This window comes from Homo sapiens, chromosome 4 (genome assembly GCF_000001405.40).
Source record: "Homo sapiens chromosome 4, GRCh38.p14 Primary Assembly".
In the NCBI taxonomy this organism is placed as follows: domain Eukaryota; kingdom Metazoa; phylum Chordata; class Mammalia; order Primates; family Hominidae; genus Homo; species Homo sapiens.
The window spans coordinates 109048037-109067134 of NC_000004.12; the positions used below are offsets into that span (position 1 = coordinate 109048037).

Sequence of the window (19098 nt, forward strand, 5' to 3'; positions counted from 1 at the left end):
AAGTATACTCTTAAAAGGTCAGTAACATTTTTCTAATAGACATAGAGACTATATTTTGGTGTTTTAACAAAGTTTTAACATACACAATCCTGATAAATGCAAACAAGCCAAAGTGCAGCAAACATACTTACAGGAGGACCTATGGGGGGAGCAGGTGGAGAGAGAAGAGAGAGAGAGGAGTTAGTGAATATGCAAAATATTAAAATCAAACAAAAGATATGAGCATAATCATCAGCATGACATAATAGACATGGAAGTTTTTTTAAATTCACTGATTCTTAATCATTTTTAGACCATGGAGCCTTTGAGACCATTTCAAAAAAATTTATAATTGCACACAAAATTTTACATAAAATTTCAAGTAATTTTTAGATTCCCTGAAGCCTGTCTATGAATTACTGAGATGTTCATATATCTTAAGTAAAGACTAATTTATAAAAGTTTAGAGAAGTATGAATTATGAGAATATTTGGTAATTTATGATAGACCAGTTATAGAGAATTGATATATAATTTCTTGAGTTTGATAAAACAGCCAAATGAGAAATGTACCAATTATTTGTCCTTAGAATTTTTTATTCATCATTATTGTAAATATGCAAAAGACTAGGTCCTCACGTTTATGTAAGTTTCTTTAAAACCATCAAAACAGGCAAAGTCTAAGACAATTTTAAATATTTCACACACCATTATGCTCAATTAAAATACTAGTTCTAAGTAGCTAGGAAGTTGGAAATTGGCTTTTATTTTCTATGAAACTTTGTATAAGCATAAATTTTTCACTTTTTCCCCAAAATCCTCTTTCTTTTGACAAAGATCAAAGATCATTTCTATGATTATCTGATTCCACTAATGTTTTATCATTTCTTTTTCCTCAAAACAAATTTATAAAGTGTCCTCTATTAGAAAACTTTGCACTTTGTGAAGGAATACCTATACAAGTTTCCAATTATTTAGATTCAATGAGCTTTAAAGGTAGCTTTTGACAATACTCTTTAAAAAAAATAAGCAACTACACTGCTCAAATTAATAAATTTTCACAAATGCTTTTTACTTTTACATCTTTCTTAAAATGGAAGAGAAAATGAGGCAAGAAAAAAAACCACACATTAATCTGCTATCAGCTCTTGATAGGTTAATGTTTCTGTTTCAATACTTAGTAGTTGATTATTTTTAATATTGAAAAATACTTAGAGAAAATACTGAAAAATAACAATTTACAGCATGCTAGAGTCAAACCTTAAATTACTTTATCTTGCATGTAAGAATTAATGGCCTGATAAGACTTTATGTGGTCATTTCCAAAAAAAGAAAAACAGTAAGTGAACTCATTTATACAGATCATCTCAGTTTCAAAAGAAATTTTACTTGACTTTTCTGTTTTACATTGGGGATTTGTTTTACATATAGGGATTTGGCCTGAAAGCAAGAATGTCCTGAAGTAGGAATCAGGACAATTGGTTCTGTTTCAAGTTTTGCCTTGGCCAAATCACCTGACTGCTATGGGCCTCCATTTCCTCAACTACAAAATGAAAATTCTAGATTGATTACTAAGGCTCTTGTCATCACTAAAATTCCATGGTTGTACAAGAAGGATAAAACATTCCCAAATTTTGAAAACGGTAAGAGTAAAAGCATGACAGAATTGTGCCAATTGGATAAAATAACAACACAGCTTTCTAAGACATGTGCCCTAGTGTCCCAAGGCAGATGTTTTTGCAAAGGACCTACATTGACTGACCACCTATATAGATGGAAACGTGGGTGATGCTATCACACCGTGTGCAGCTGAGAAACACGCCATTGTACATAGAAAGGACAGACTTAACTTGACCCAGTAAATAAGCCCCAAATGGGTACCAATTGTTACTAAACTGCAATTAACAATACTTTGCAAACTTCTCCTTTTTACAGTTTAATAGAAATAAGGAGAAGATTAAAAAATAATAAATAAACAAATACAACTAGGTCTAGCAGAGAAAGATTTAAACACACACATATAACCTCCAACAAGACAATATTATCATTAATTAGGAAGAACAGATGCCGGAACTTAACCAGAACATGAGTGACACAGAGCAGCTGAAAGAGAGACTTACCAGATTCTCCTCTTCGGCCTCTCTTACCTCGTTTCCCTGGAGGGCCTGAAATACAAAGGATAATTTTTTTAGTGTAGTTTAATTCTTTTTCCTGGTTCCAAAATAGCTAGTAAATAATTTATATATATTTTCTCATTGTTTTTAACTACCAACTTCAAGAAAGGGATCAGATATTTGTAAAGGTCAGTATTGTCTTTAGTGTTTCAGCAAAACTCTTAAGGTTCATTTAATTATAAAAGCTACTCTAGATACATGATCATCTAGTGTTACTTAAGAAAACTAACGATTGGGAATTTTTGTTCATCCTGCTTTAATATCATCAATAAAGAAAGGGTTTGCTAAGAAAATTGGTAGTTGAGTTTTATATTTCTAAGAAATATTTCTTTTCAGTATATGAATAATTAAAGTACTAATTAATAATTTAAAAGTACTAAGTCCAAATGATTTACAGTTTCTTTTCAGTCAGGTCCATCATAATTTTCTGAAAATGTTTAGTTAGCAGTTAGTTAAATGTATATATTAGTAATGGAAAATAATCCTTACAAATATTTATATTTCATTAAATGTGAATATATTGGAATTTCACCGATCAACAACCACCTGAATAAAATCACAACCTTTTTAATAAGACAGTGTTTAGGTAGTAATTATAGGCCTGATTTTTCTACAAGGGCAAGTTCATTATTGTCATTCAATAAATAGTTAGCCTTTATGATGATCCCATTTTAAAAGCAGAGAAAAAAACTTGTTTTTTTTTTTTTGGTAAGTTACCGGTAAAGACCACCAAGCTAGTATGTATCAGACTTCGCACAAGATTCTAGACATTCATGGCTTTCAAGCCATTATTCTCAATTATATAATTTCTGTCCTCATTTCCTTGGGCAGGAGTAGCCTTGCATTGAATTATGGTTCAGGCAAATAGAAGAGAATAATTAGCCCACAATGAGAATTGAGGTCTTACAATATTTGCCAGGAGAAGAAGGCCAAGGAAAATACAGAACTGCCTGATTTTAAAGAATGAGCTGCTAAGTAGGACTGATGACTTCCAAACTTTAGAAAGTTCAAGACACAGGCAGCACAGGCCTTAGTATCCAAGCGACTTTCAATGTGATCCTGAGCTACTGGCTCCCACATGGAAACACTATCATGAGAAACAAAAACATCAGTGGGGCAGTTAGTTTCCTTCCAGTCCCTTACACAGAATAAGTCTGACCGTCTGTATTTTGTAAGAGGTTAAGAAACAATTGAGCAATAAAACCAATAGAAAATATTAGGAGAATAAGCTTTGTAGCAAAGTCCAAAACTGCCAATAGAAATTTCAGATTTCTTTCTATATTCTAGAATAAAGGGATGTTTTCATCATATTCAAGGTATCTTGGCCAGATTGGGAACAGGAGAAGAATCATATAAATGAGTAAATGAGCCCAGAGAACCCTAAAAGGTACGAAAATATAAAGTTAATACATCTGTTCAAACACACATACATACACACACACACACACACACACACACACAGACATAATCTGATATATAAAACTTCCTTAAGACTAAGAATTATATTTTTTCTAGTATAACATCACTTAAACTAAGAACTCTCTAGCAACTACTATATACTTATAATGTCTGTGGTTCACATGGTAGGACCATTAGAAGCCATTGTGGAAGAGATGACAGACGAGAATTTTCCAAAACTGAATATAGCAGTCCTATGATTGAACTTATATTTCAAGTGGCATGTAAAAATAATTCACCCTAACCATGTGGAAGGAGAAACTTAGGAATATTCAAAGATTAAAAAAAAATGTTAGGAAATACCAGAGGGAAATTATAATGGAAAGTACTTTGACTGACCGTTGTCTCACCTACAACAATGGTGCCAGAAAGGCCCAGCCCTGATTTGTACATGTCTTAGAGGCCTCTAATTATTACTTATTTATTGGGAAGTAGCTTATTTGCCATTTTCTCCCTGAAGAATGTGTCTTTCAACAGTGGATTTCATCAAATAAAAACAATAGATTGCACAAATGTTTAAGAAATAACTTGAATAAATTTTTACTTAACAGACAGAAGATTATGAAAAAAATGATTAAAGAAGCACTCACATCTTTTGAAGAAATCAAAAACCAAAATATAAATATTTCTGAACATATCTGGATTAAATATTCAATCAGAAGGTTTAAAGAAATGAATCAAATGCTGTGGAAAATCTGCTTGTCATACTGAGAATTGAAGAACAGGATGCAAGCAAACTCAAACAGCACTTGGCAAGACAGACATCTATTGAATATGGTAGGGTTTTACAAAGCATGTCATAATATTTGACAGAGAAAATGAATTTAAACTAAGTTATGAGAAGATGGAATCTAAACTCTAATGAATTTACAAAGAAAATATTGGATTTAAGAAAAGCAGGTTATAATTATTATTGGAATCAGAAAACTGCAGGGAGCATTATACTGACCTTGCTGAACTAATAAATTATACAAAACTCTCAGAAAAGCCTAGGTAAAGATCTTGCTTCTAAGAGAATAATTTGATGTTTGAAGAAGTCTACTGTGCAGATAAGATAATTTGATCTTGCTTCTGAATTTAAAGACAAAAAGAATAATAAAAATGAAATGGATGAGATGAATTTGGCAATGGATAGCTGGCAGAACAGAGTGAGAAGATAGAAAATCAGAAAAGAAAAATCAGACAAAACTGATGTTAACAATTGTCACAAAAGATAGTGGCCATTTTCATTCCAAAGTGAGTGATGAATTGTCAGCCAGGCATGAGCTGTATGAACACATACAGAAGCTGGAACATGGCTCTCATTCACTAAACTTGGCCAGATCTTTACAACAGAAATTCTCAGTAAATTCTATCAGCAGAAAAACATGACTCTGCAAAAGAAACTGGTTCAAGAAAATGAATGGGAAGAGAAAAAACAGAAGCTATCAGCAACAGAGGAAGTGAAAACTTACAAGCAGAAAATTCATTCAATGAAGAATGAATTACAGAAAACAGAGAGAGACGACAAAACCAGATTGCTCTTCAGGATTAGAAAATTCAGGACAATTGGTACTATTCATGCTTCAGAAAGAGTTCTTGCTAACTTTCAAAAATAGATGCAAGCTGTCAGCCTGAGATAGAATTAGTAAAAATTTGCCATCATGGTAATTATTTAAAAACCAGTGACTATAAACCCAACTCCAGACAGACCCCGTTCATCAAATAACAAAGGCAAGCCTCCTAAACCACGCCAGTTCTTTTGGCCCATGACTAATATTGTTTGAACGCTCTATTCCTCACTAATGATGTATCCACTTGAAAAGGCTCTTCTCTAAATTTAGAAATGTACCTAGAAGGAAACATATGCCACTCCATGGGCCCTCACATGATCGTGAGGGTGGGTGGTTATTGGAAGTAGCTGGAATACCCTTCCCTGGCTCATCAGGTGAATTACCAAAACCCGTCAATTCTACCCCTAGTACTTAGATCTGTTCACTCTTCTCCACTCCTAAGAGTATAATATTTCAAGGTTGAGTTTAAACGTAATCTTTCTTGATACTCCAAGAAGAGATTTTTTTCACAAGGATGTTATTTGTCTTTGAAAATATTTTTACCTTTTATAAACGTTTGCAATAAACACACAGGAAGCATTTAGAGAAAAGTTTCAGAATTCATCATTGGCTGGGTGTTTTGTTTTGACCTCTTGTTTTCTATTTCAACACAAATTTCTGGCTGGGTCTGCTTTTGGAGAGCAGGTATCATGTGGATAAAAAGCAAAGGGATGGCTCACGCCCTGGGTGATTGTGCTTAGGTGCGTTGTCATAAATACCCGAGAATAGGGAGAAGGTGGCTATCTCATTACGAGAATGGCTTAATGGTCACCACTGACACAGGTCATTAGATAATAAATTCCTGACTGAATGGAGGAGGTAATTAATGAATATACAGACACACACTAGGTGTTCAATAAACATTAGCTCCCACTTTTACTTTCTTTATATTTTCTTTTTAGTCCATTGTGATTCTATTTGAGAATTTGATAAAAGTTGACTATATGTGAACAAGATTGCAAGAGATTAATATCACCTTATAATTACACTATTCAAGGAGGCAATTTAATATACTAAAGACAACATGGAACACAGAGTTAAAAACCTATGGATTTTTCACTACTGTGTGAATTGAGCTGACTTTCAACTAATCTCTTTGATTTTAATCTGCTATCTGGTAAATAATACTCACTCCGCCCCATTTGTATGATTATTGTGAGGATGAAACTGTAAAGTGCTATTACATTATACTAAACAAGTGTTTCCTTCATTTTTCATTCATGTGTTGAAGCTTATAAACCATTTCCGTGCTATATTACTGTCATATTCATCAATAAGAATAGTAAGCTTTTTAAACATAGTAAGAATTCTAAAATAGTAAGATTTTGACACATTCTAATAAAAAGCTGAAACTTAGAAGTTTCATCCCCAGAAGCATAGGGAACTTTAAGTACATTAGATAAGAAAAATCATAAAATACCTCAAACAGTAGAAAATATTCCAAAAAATACTCTTATTCAGAGTTTTGGAGGCAGAAAATGGAGACGTCACAGCAAAGTAAAGGGCAGAAAACCGAACTTGTGGTCTGGGAGGGACAGAGTGAGGACGAAGCTGTTTGCAGATGGAGCAGCCCTCTTGATGGACGCACACTGGGGTAGGGAAGTCTGGAGGACAAATGTGTGCAAACCCAAGACGCTCCTCCACCCCAAACAATCCCTGAACAGGTCGCCAACAGCTGCAGCTGGCTCTTGGGAGGGAGGAACCTGTCTGGGCACAGGGAGACAGCGGATCATCCTTTCTGAACCAACCTCCCCCATCCTCCAGCTACATTCAGAGACTAAACCAGGTTTACCTTCAGGTCTTCTGGATTAACCTTACAAGCAGGCACAGATTAATTTCAGAGCTCTCCCCAAAGTCCTCCCACCTGTTTGCTTGCTTAATGCCTGAAATTCCTTCAAGATGGACCAAAGCGTTTCATTCCACAATTAGAAGTAAAAGGCTTAAATGGCAATGCCTGGTAGAAGTAGAACACTAAATAAAATTTATTCTCTCCATACTCATAAAATGTCTGTACTACAACAGACCCATGAGGTCATAAGAGCCAAAGGTTTTCATGCTCTGCTCAGAACCTGGACCATCAGAGCAGCTCCAGATTGCCATACTGAATTGCAACCATTTTAAGTAAAACCTCCATGACTAAAACAAGTTTATAAATGATTCACGTTTCTGCAAATGTAAAACTGAGCCCAACAGAGGCGAAACAACCTGCCCACAGTCCCACACAGCAGATCCCAGCTTCCTGATTCCAAACCGAGAGTTCTGTGGCTCAATGCACTGCCTGTCAGTTTTGAATTCACATTCCACAGACACAACCAGCCACAACCAGTGCGAACTTTCCAAAGTACTTTATTTTATCAATGACCCACCTTGTATTTTTCGAACATCGCTACTTAGACAGATGTATTATTAATCTTTGTGACAGCCTTCCACTAGACTGTAAGCTCATGAAGGGAGAAATTCTCTTGTTCATCCTTGTATCTCCAGCAGCAGGCATGAGGCTGACCACTCGGAAAACTTTAAAGGGGCACTGTCTATGAGCTATTTGATGCACACCAACATTATTTCATACTATTATGGCAAAAATCACAATTACTTTTGCACCAACCTAATACATTAATTTTTTAGAAGAAATGACTTTTTTTATTCAGATTTATTTCTCAAGATTTTCTCAATCAGCATGTACTCCACTATACATAACACAGGGTTGTTTGTTTTAAATATCTTTTATGTGTTTATTTTTGTTTCAAATTTCCTCAAGTTTTAATCTCTGTGGAATGTCAGTTTATAAACGAAAGTTAATCATAATAAATAATAGGAAATAATTTCAGCTTACAATAGCCAAGTTCCATAACTCTCACTACAGAGTATTATTCAGATATACAGTAATCATTTTAAAGATAATGAGTTCAACTGAAATTTGGAAAAGTCTTTCTCCCTTATTTTTAACAATAGAAAAGATATACTAACAAATGTGTGAGGGACTATTTTCTTACACATTATTTAACTAATACATGTATTTAAATTGTTTGCTAGTAAGATTTTTACTGTATTTTAGTTACAAACAACAAAAATTAAGTTGCCAAATTTTTATTTTTATAACCTAATCAGAGCAACATAATTTTAATAAAGTTATGAATATTTACAATATACTGTTCCCCTAAAGTCAGTAATTAGATTTGTTTTGTGAAATTCCTAGAGGATATTTTTTAGATCAAATAAAAATATGAAATATTTAATTTTATGAATAGTCCTTTCACAAATATGCTTATTTTCAAGCTTTTATACCAAGGGATTTATGCTAATTCCACATAAAATTTATAAAACATAAAGAATATGCAGAAACTATGTTCACTGAATGAACATAAAACACAATAAAGCCCATGGAAGGTACAAAAAGATTAAAAAAAAAAACTGTCTTCAAGTGGCTAATAAACGTGGGTGCATTATCAGTATATACATTAGACCACCTAAAGCCAACTGAGAGGATATGTATGTGTGTACTGGTTTAAATGCAAAATGTAATGTTCCTTGGTGTAGTAGCCAGTGCTTTAGAAGAAAATGGGCTGGTTATTCCAGAATATACTTCTCATTAGGATAGTTTTTTGTCTGACACAGTCTTACTATGTCACCGAGGCTGATGACAGTGTAAGTGGTGTCGAACATCGCTATTTAGAGTGCAGTGGTGATAATAGCTCACTGTAACCTCAAACTTCTGGGCTCAAGCGATCCTCCCATCTCAATCTCCTGAACAGCTTGGGCTACAGGCACATACCACCACAACCAGCTAAGTTTTTTATTTTTTGTAGAGACAAGGTCTCACTGTGTTGCCCAGGCTGGTCTCAAACTCCTGGCCTTAAGCAATCCTCCTGCCTTGGACTCCCAAAGAGTCAGAATTAAAGGTGTGAGCCATCGTCCCTGGCCTAGGAGAGTTATTAAGCAGCAAGGTATGCCCTCCTGGCAAAGCATGTTATCTTTCTCATGAAATGCACTGAGAGCAGGACTCTTATTTGTTTCTGTAATTTTTTCAATTTTATTTATTTACTTATTGGGACAGAGTCTTACTCTGTCACCCAGGCTGGAGAGCAGTGGTGTGATCTCAGCTCACTGCAACCTTCACCTCCTGAGTCCAAGCGATTCTCCTACCTTAGCCTCACGAGTAGCTGGGACCACCATGCCTAGCTAATTTTTTTTTTTTTTTTTTTTTTTTTTTTTTTTGCATTTTTAGTAGAGATGGGGTTTTGTCATGTTGGCCAGGCTGGTCTCAAACTCCTGACTTCAGGTGACCTGCCGGCCTTTGCCTCCCAAAGTGCTGGGATTATAGGCATGAGCCACTGTGCCTGGCCTCAATTTGAAATAAAGTGAAAATTTTAACAATTGCCATTAAGATGTTTTAAGTAAATACAAATTAATTACATCAGAACTGTGGTAAATCTAATTCTCAACATTATGTGATCATTAGAGTTATTTTTAAACTGGTTGAGTTTCTACTCCTGTGGAGAGAGGTCAATAAACCAAAATTACCTTCTAAAACTTCTTCCCAGTTATCGCAGTGTAAGTTTAGTTCTTTCTGGTGCCAGGTTTAAATGAAGCATGTCAAGTTTAACTGATAATTAGTTGCTATTTATTAATTTTATAAGTAGAAAAAAACTGATCACATTCATGAGATAACTGGAGACTCTCACAAGGACATACTGGAAAATACTACTGCACTTGAACAATAAAAGAAATGGATTTCCGAACTGAGTGCAACGTTTTCTGGGCTTTATATAGATGCTTTGTTTCCAGAAATGGAATTCCAGAAAATGAGGGGTTATCTTTGTTGCTGTTTTTAATATCTAGATAATAAATATAGTAGAATATTCCATAGAAACTGTTCAAGACTACAAATAGCCTGATGTTGCAGTTCATTGACTTTAATGAGGTCTGATGTGGCACAGTTGTTATTTCTATCATTCTTTTCCCACACATAAAGTGTTTCATTATTATGGTACTAGAATGTTTTACCCCAGGATCCTACAGGGGATTTATCATGACAGCTTTTTTTATTTCTACTTGTGGGGAAGGGGGCTGCAAGATGTCAGAGAGTAGGGGTTGGGAAATAGGAAAGATATGATTCTTTGTGAGATTACATGCTATGTAACAAGAGTGGCCATTATCTATACAACGTAATATATTAACATGAAAAACAGTTTCCAAGCTTGCAGAAAAATATTTTAAATTAGCTTTGCAGATTATATGTTTCTAATGGAACTGAGAGTGGTAGACACCTCTTTTAAAGATAAAAATGTTAAACTAACAGAAAAAAAATAAGATCAAAAGTTGAATATAGTTTTTCAAATATTCAATAAATAAAATTATGTTAATTCTTATTTATCAGAGATTGAAATAATCTTCATGGAAAATTTAAAAAGTGGGCTAATAGAAACTAGGATTTGTTTTTATTAATGGCTTTGTGACACCACAAGCTTTTGCCAAATTGCCGATGGATGAATTAAACACAGCAGCACCACATACACCATTACACATATGCAAATGGCCCAGATATTTAAGCGGGTGCTAAATTAATCATTTAGCATGATGCCAAAATTTCCACCCAGTAGTAAAAATACTCATAGAATAATAATACAGAACTGGTTTAACACTGAAAATGAGTGATGGAAAATGAATAAACAGAAAGGCAAGACGAAGTCATTCGAGTAAGAGTAGGAGTAGTTCAGAGAGAGAGGGTAACGCAGAAGTCTGGACCCAGTGAAATAAGCACGAAGGCACAGGCATACTAAAACAATTAGTGCAGGAATGATAGAGTAAGATCTGTTTGTGGAAGCCAGAGAACCTAATGAGCCCCTGTATCATGTGGGGGAAAAGCACAAAATACTAGGAAATAATACAAGGGACAATGATGATGACTAATATTTATGAGTGCCATCACGCACCTTGCACTGGGCTAAGCACTGTACATGCTTGGTCTCACTTATTTTTCCTAGTTGTGTGATCTCAATACAATTTTGGAAAGTGATGATATAGACAGGTTAAAAGATTTGCTCAACAGCACATAGGTAGTAAATGGTGGGTTAGGGATGTATATCCAGACAGCCTGACTCTTGGATTACAAATGCTGAAACTAACAATTTGGTCACTTATTAAACACACTATAGGTCAGTGTATTTTCTGACACAAAAACACACAACTGCCTGAAGGAAAATAGGAGATTTAAGTCAACTTAGAAAAAACATGTTCATGAGTATTTCTGAAGCCCTTTATTTAAAATCTTTGTTTATAGGCTTATTTTTAGCTTTTCATTTTAAAGGAAAAATAATCATAAGAAATCACTGGCCAACAGCTAATAAAGTTCTATTTTACAAAGTTAAAAAGACACTGTTCTCTCTTCATACACTGAGAACACTCATGGCTCGTCTAAGGGGATGTGATTAACACATATTTATGTTTAAGCTCAGTTAATATGCTCTTATACCATGCACAGCAGTTTTTACCCATGCTGTTATATATAAGTATTTGAAGTGACAGAAATAAGAAAAATATTGATCTTTTAGAAAGGAGGGATATTGCCTGTCTTCTTCATTATTGTATTCGCAGTACTTGGCACATAGTTAAATGTTAAATGGATGACCTTTTTTTTTAAAGGCTGAAATAACAGTAACACTTCTGTAGTATTTCTGCCAGTTAAAAACAAAACAAAACAAAACAAATGGCAGAGTACAACTTTTGAAATCAGCCATAAGGACCTATGTTTGAACCTGTCTCTTCAACAAATTAGCTACATGACTTTGGACAAATTAACCTCTTAGAACCCTTGTCTTCATCTACAAACTAACCTCTCAGAAACCCTTGTTTTCATCTTTAAATAAAGGGCTTCAGAACGTTTATAATGTAGATAATATCCATCTCAGACTTGTTCTAAGTGTCAAGTGAGATATTTTACCTGTGAGGTACTGAGCACGTGGCAGCTGTGAAGACACAGCATCTGTGCCAGTAAAGGCAAGTGCTACTTAGGAGATATTTAGTTAGGGGACTTTGATGAATTAGATAATCTGGGAAGAAAGAGCAACCTCTAATCCTTTTCAGCCTACAGTCCAGCCCTCACAAGCTTCCCAAAGCGACCTGTCTCTTCTTACAATTCTTCCATGGCCCCCTTGACCCCCACCTCATTGCCCTCTTGCTATGTCAGACCCTAACAGTATCACATAGCGTAATGATAATGGACATGGACCCTGGCAGATGAGGTAAATCATAGCATCTGTTTCATTTTTGTGAACATGTTAGCAGTTGGTCTATTTACATACATGTCTGGCACAGAGTAAACATTCTTTAGATGTTACCAATTGTAGTGACTTTTCACATCTCTGAATGTCTCTCATTTGTCTAGGAAGTCCTTCGCAGATGGTACCTTCCACACGTTGGGTGCTCAGTACCAACTCAGACTCAATTTTCAAAAAAAAAAAAACAAAAAAACATTACCTTCTTGGCAAAATGAGTTCATGGCTTTCAGAATTTGGGCTGTCATGACACAATTTTTCATTCGCCCGAGCTTAAAATATCAAGGCAATTTTTTAGTCCTTCCCTCACATTCTTGTGAAATTTAGTGTTTCATCAGTATTTTTTCTTGAAACAACTCTTGACTGTCCCTTTGTTTTCAATCCCAATGCTGATGCTATAGTTTGGGTCCATACTTTTCAACTCTAAATGCTTACTGGTCTCTCTCAAATCCATCTGCATAAACTACTAGGTTAATCATTTTAACCTATTTTCATCATGCAATTCTCCAGATCAATAAGCTTTCATGCTACATAAGTGAGGAAGTACTTACACATTGGTCCAACACACAAGGTTTTCTCCTATCTAACAAATCCAACCCTAAGTCTCCATACTACCTAAAAGAGTCACTTTTGCCTAATCCTTGGTCTTTCATCACTCTTGTGCTCTCCTTACTTAAATCTAATTTCTAGAAGACATAATAGAGGAGTGACAATCCTTTCTCCTTTGCCATGTATTTGGCTCATTTTTCTCCTCTAGTATTTTTTCCAACATACCCATGAATTGATTCTTGTTGTGATAGAAATTCTGCCTTCTTCACTATCACTACCAGGTTAACACAGTTCAATTTTAATAGAGTTGTTAAGTAAAAGTACAAAATTCTTAAAACTTTACTCCAGTTGCCTAAATAGGAATAGGAATAGATTTCATACTTCAAACTATAGTTTAAGGAGGAGCTGCTATTTTGTCTATTTAAGGAATTAATTTGCTCAGTGCTATGATGTATTTGGAAATGTCATGCATATAAAAAGTGCTCTACAAAATGCCAAATTATCTTGCTAAACTAACTGAGAACACAATGCAGTGTAGGTTAGGATTACAGTTGGCCTCCCATAGAAAATGCTAACATAGGTGATCTTCACCAGAAAATCAAATCCCATTTGGCCATTTAAAAAGACACTTGCAATCGCCTAGCCTCCCCAACTGAGTTTCATTGCCTCCTTCAGAATAAACACAGTTATTTCCTTACAGTTAAATCTCAGATTCATACTGACAGGCAAATTCCCTAGAATACAAAAACATCATGAGTAGATTTCTATGAATAAAATGTTTCCCCATATGATTTCATAATAATTCTAGCACTTTACTGCTGCTATATCTATCACACAGCAAGTAAGCATTTTCCAATGAAACTACAGACGGGCCAATCCAAGACATGATTTTAACTTCTGAGGTTGAGTTTCTTTTCTATGTTGCATAGGAACTAACACAGAATTTTTAAAATTATCAAAAGCCTTGATATACACACACTCTTTTGCCCTTAAGTAATAAAGAAAACATACACCAAAATTTTATTGGCTTTCCATCTGGCATCTTTCGTACTAATGAAGATGGGAAGCTTCAAAGCATGCTGAAGTTTGGACGAGTGTCAGAGGCCTAACTACAAGTGCCAATCAACTTAAAGGACTTATGAAAGGTCCTTGATCAAGTAGACCAAGAGCTCTGGAGCTAACTATCAGAGGTGAAAGTTCAAGGGTTACATCTTTAAGTTATGAGGGAGAAGGTAATTTCAAAGTAGAATTTGAGTTATTTTATTTTGCAACTTAACTATCATAAGGGCTTTTCATAAAATAGGATGGTTTTAAAATATGGCATTTTATTATGATATCAAGTAACAACAGAGGGAAAACCTTCAAGGAAAAAATTAACTGTAGTAAATATAGAAGAATTGTAATAATCAGAAATAGAATGGATTCTATGAAGTCTATTTTATGCTCCTTAGTAAAATGACACAAAAGATGTATTGAATAAGACAGTTGTATAAGTAAAATAAATTCTGTACACAAAGCTTTGTGTAAAATATATTCAATAGAATACATTTTCATTAATAGTGATTCTCATATCCATATTTAAGAACAAAAATGAGGAAATTAGGATCTTAATCCACTTTGGTACAACCTATATTCCATCCACATGCATATTTATGAATATGACTTAATCAGGTTTAATCATTCCTCATATTCAGCCTCCTCATTAGACAATCATTATTAAGAAATTCTTAAATTCTACTGGTAAGCTTTGAAGTTAGTTGTTAATACAGAACATGAAAATGGATTACTATAAATAACATAAATCCCCAAGACACCTGATTGAATTTGATTGTTCTCTGAATATTTTATGCTGAGATAAAAATGGACATAACTAAAACAGTTCTTGACTATTAAAATATTTTAAGTCAAAGAATAGCCATGAGTGCCTATGCCATCAACACTTTATGTGTATGTTTGGTTTCCTTCTGAAAAGGCCTCATGAATTTGTGAGAGATGCAAGGCCTAAAACAAAAACAAAATAAAAATAAAGAACAATGTTAGCCAATACATAATACAGTGTTACACTGCAAATGGCACTGATTATGCCACAGTTGCTCAGAGAAAAGTGTTGAGAAAAGGTTGTCAGAAAAGTGAAATTTTAACTTAACTTTAAAAAGTCAATAAAAGGCTGGGTGCTCATGCCTATAATCCCAGCACTTTGGGAGGCCAAGGCATGTGGATCACCTGAGGTCAGGAGTTTGAGACCAGCCTGACCAACATGATAAAACCCCGTCTCTACTAAAAATACAAAAATTAGCTGGGCTTGGTAGCACGTGCCTGTAATCTCAGCTACTCAGGAGGCTGAGGCAGGAGAATCGCTTGAACCCGGAAGGCAGAAGTTGCAGTAAGCCAAGATCACACCACTGCACTCCAGCCTGGGCAACAGAGCAAGACTCCAACTCAAAAAAAAAAAAAAAGTGGATAAAAGAGGGTAAGGAAGGATAAAAAAATGAGGTACAGCCCCAGTGCAGTGGTTCACATCTGCAATCCCAGCACCTTGGGAAGCAGAGGCAGGAGGATCACTGCAACCCAGTTCAAGACCAGCCTGGGCAAAACAGTGGGACCTTGTCTCTAATAATAATAATACAGCATAAACACAGCTAGCCACATGCACTGCAGCTTACCATGAGACTACATTCACCGGAATTTTTGTTTGAAATAAGACTGGATAAGTAAGCCCCGTCCAGATTATTAAAGTCCTCAAATGGCAGGAGAAAAAGTTAAGAAATTCTCCAATAAGTAACAGGAATCAAATATAGATAGAGTAGTAAGATAATGGCATGAAGAAAGTGGTGTTTTGTGAGGACTAACCTGGCAGGAATTAGGGAAGCCAATTATGAGTCTCTTACGGAACCTAAGGCACAGTGATAAAGGGACTAGTGACAAATGGGGACAAAAAATAGATACCGAAAGTAATACTTGACAAACAGAGTCAAAGTTGGAGGCTTAATTGGATTTAGGAGGTGAATACAACAGGTTGAAAGTCAAAGACGGTCACCAAGGATTTGAGCCTTATAGAATAGAAAATCGGTGGTACTATTTACATATATTGGATAGATTAAACAAAAGATCCCTCTGCCATTAACGTGATAGTCAGATGTCAACCTTGGACCTTGGAAACAGTTTCAGAATATTGGCATATTTATATGAATTAGATCCTCTGTGGAGTCTGCCTTTCTTCTTTTAACACGATATGCACAGACCTTTACAATTGAAGATTTGTCCCAAAACTTGGAAAACATTTGTTCTTGTATTTGGGCATCCATAGTATGCAAGTTTAGTTTTGTAGACATAATTACAAAGTTCTACAAGTAAATGGATAATAAGTTGATGTTAATATTACAGAATCCTTACCAACAAATCATCAAATGGAGGCCAAACCTACTAAGGTTGTTTGTATCTTTCTATCGATTCCCTTAAAATCTGTGAAATCCATTCCAATATTTTCACTCAAATACAGTGATTTAATTCAGAATTTTCATCAGTTGAATATTGATTTGAATCATTCCTGAACTAAGAAGACAGCAGGAACAGTGACTAGAGAGCCAGAGACCTCCCATGCATTGTCATTAAGTTCTACAGAATATTAGACTTCTTATCTATAACATGAAAGGACTGTACTGGAGCTCCATGTTTCCTTCCAACAATATGATTCCATGAGAAGCAAAAGAAAATCATTTTTTCTTTCTAACTAAATGACCACATCTGGTCTCTAGTACCTACAAAAGCCCTAACCCTAGGTCCATCAAAGTAAATACAAGAAAGCCAGCCAAGTCAATTGATTTCACATCCAACAGACATGCAGATCATTATGTGAGGATCACAGGAAGCACCTCCTTGAGGAGGTACAGGGTAGAAGTAGAACATGGTGTATCCAATGCACCAGTAAGGAGGGCAGTCAGCCCACAGAATTCTTATTGGCTTTCCAGAACTGTGACAAGAACTCGGGAGTCATAATGAATGAGAGCAATGTGCTCTGCTCCTTTTGGGCTCATCTAGCCCCTCGGACTGGACTGATGGCTACAGCTGAGAAATTCCAAAGGGATTGAGGAGGGGAAGTGCTCAGGGCATGATGCAGGCACACAAATCCCTCTGGAGTCCTAATCATTCTGCCCAAGTACACGCAATCATGAAGCACAGTTGTTTGATCTGGCTACACACTCCGTCTTTCTTGTGAGGGAGAGGGAGGACTGTTTAGAAGTAGGAACACTCCCATTCAGTTGCATCACAAGTTGTGATAAATCAATAGCCAGTCCTTGTCCAGCCATGTCAATTATAATCTGGCCAGATCAGTTCTACATTCCAGAAGAATGTAGGGAACTGTTTTCTATAGTTACCTGACAGAAACATGTTGTATTTATTGCACTAGAAAATGTTGATGTAGTAATCCAAGCAACACCAAATGGCTTGCAAATACCTTTTTGGTGCAGCACGCGCGCGCGCGCGTGTGTGTGTGTGTGTGTGTGTGTGTGTGTGTGTGTGCAGGTGCATGCACGTGTGTTTAAGAAATAAATTTTTTCTCCCTTAATACTATCCCTTACTTTTATTCCATTGGATGAAACAACCAAAAATATCTAATATTAATTTAGAGGAAGTCTTGCAAAGAGAACCTATTGAACAACTCTATTTTTATTTAAAGACTATGCCAGTCTAATGACTATCTCTGGTCATTAGTCCTAGATTTTGAGCCACAATTGACAAGACCTTCCTTGTGATGACAGATTAAAGTATTCACTGTATGGCAAGGTTTTTTATTTCACTGCAGCAACCAATGATGAAATGCAATATGGTCAGATTAAAGGTAGCACATAACTACCCTTTTGTAGTAGTAATGCCTTTGGTGAACCCACACATGCTATCGGTCATTTAAATCCATAACCTGGAGCTGAGCAGAGCCCCATCAAAGTCTTCTTTACATGCCCCACCTGCCCTGGGGTGGTGCATACATCATTTGAAGCAAAGCTTAGTGACAGCTGCAGAAATGTACTCAGTGAAGCTAAAATAGACTGCAATCTAGAATAATAGTGATGGAAATATCTGGACATTCATATTTAAATGAATGAAATGATTACCCTAAATCCAGAGCTGATTTGCAGCTGGTACACATCAGCACTACCACACTGGTTGTTGGTCAGTTTTAGAAGCACCACTCACCCCAAGTGCCTCTTTTTCTAATACCTGACCATCTTAGTCCCTTCCCCAGAGCCCCTGAAATGCCACACAAAATGGGTACTCAAGGAAGAAAACACCTGGCCCATCAGGAGGTCTCCCAAACTCTGTTCCAGCATTGAGACTGGCATCCACTATGATTTGCTGAAAGGCAATTTGATTAATACTTTGAATACTACCCTGCCTATCTCCATCATCATTACAGCACATATCATGTTGTATTGCAGTTATTTCTTTGTAAGTCAGCATTCATCTACTATTCTCAAGCACTTAAAAACAGAGAACCAATCTAATTCATCTTTGAACTCTAGTGCCTAGGAGAATGGTAGATTATAAATAGATACTTGGTGAACCTATGGATGAACGAACTCCAAAATAATCAAATTCCTTTCTTCCTTTTTTTGAGACAGGATCTTGCTCTGTCTCCAGCACTCCCAGGCTGGAGTGCCATGGCATGATCATAGCTCACTGCAGCCTCAAAATCCTGGGTTCAAGGGATCCTCCTGCCTCACTCTCCCATGTAGCTAGGACTACAGGTGCATGACACCACACCTGGCTAATTTTTTTATTGCTATCTTTTAGTAGAGATGGGGTCTCACTATGTTGCCCAGGCTAGTCTCTAGTGATCCTGCCTCAGGCAATCCTCCCAACTCAGCCTCCCAAAATGCTGAGATTACAGGTGTGAGCCACTACACCCAGCCCCAAAATCAAATTTCACCATGTCACTTTGATAATATAATATTTTCAGATAAAATTATTCTCATTCTTACACAATATTTGCAACTTCTTATAAGGATTTTCATATAGACACATGTGGCCTTCAAGGTTTTTTTTGGCTTTCACATAGGAAGATAGCAATGGTGAA

At 35.8% G+C, this 19098-nt stretch overlaps 1 protein-coding gene across 10 annotated transcripts in view; it reads right to left on the reverse strand.

Moving 5' to 3' along the window:
- Window positions 1–19098, reverse strand: part of COL25A1 (collagen type XXV alpha 1 chain) — a 493934-nt gene that overhangs the window by 239312 nt on the left and 235524 nt on the right. For all 10 annotated transcript variants that reach the window (NR_045756.3, XM_011532335.3, XM_011532334.3 and 7 more), the window contains 2 exons: window positions 2099–2143; window positions 132–139 (listed from right to left, as the gene is read on the reverse strand). Coding sequence is in view for 9 of the 10 variants with exons in the window: in XM_011532335.3 (XP_011530637.1) it covers window positions 132–139; window positions 2099–2143 (53 nt within the window). In the remaining variant the exon portion in view is untranslated. The remainder of the gene's footprint in view (window positions 1–131; window positions 140–2098; window positions 2144–19098) is intronic.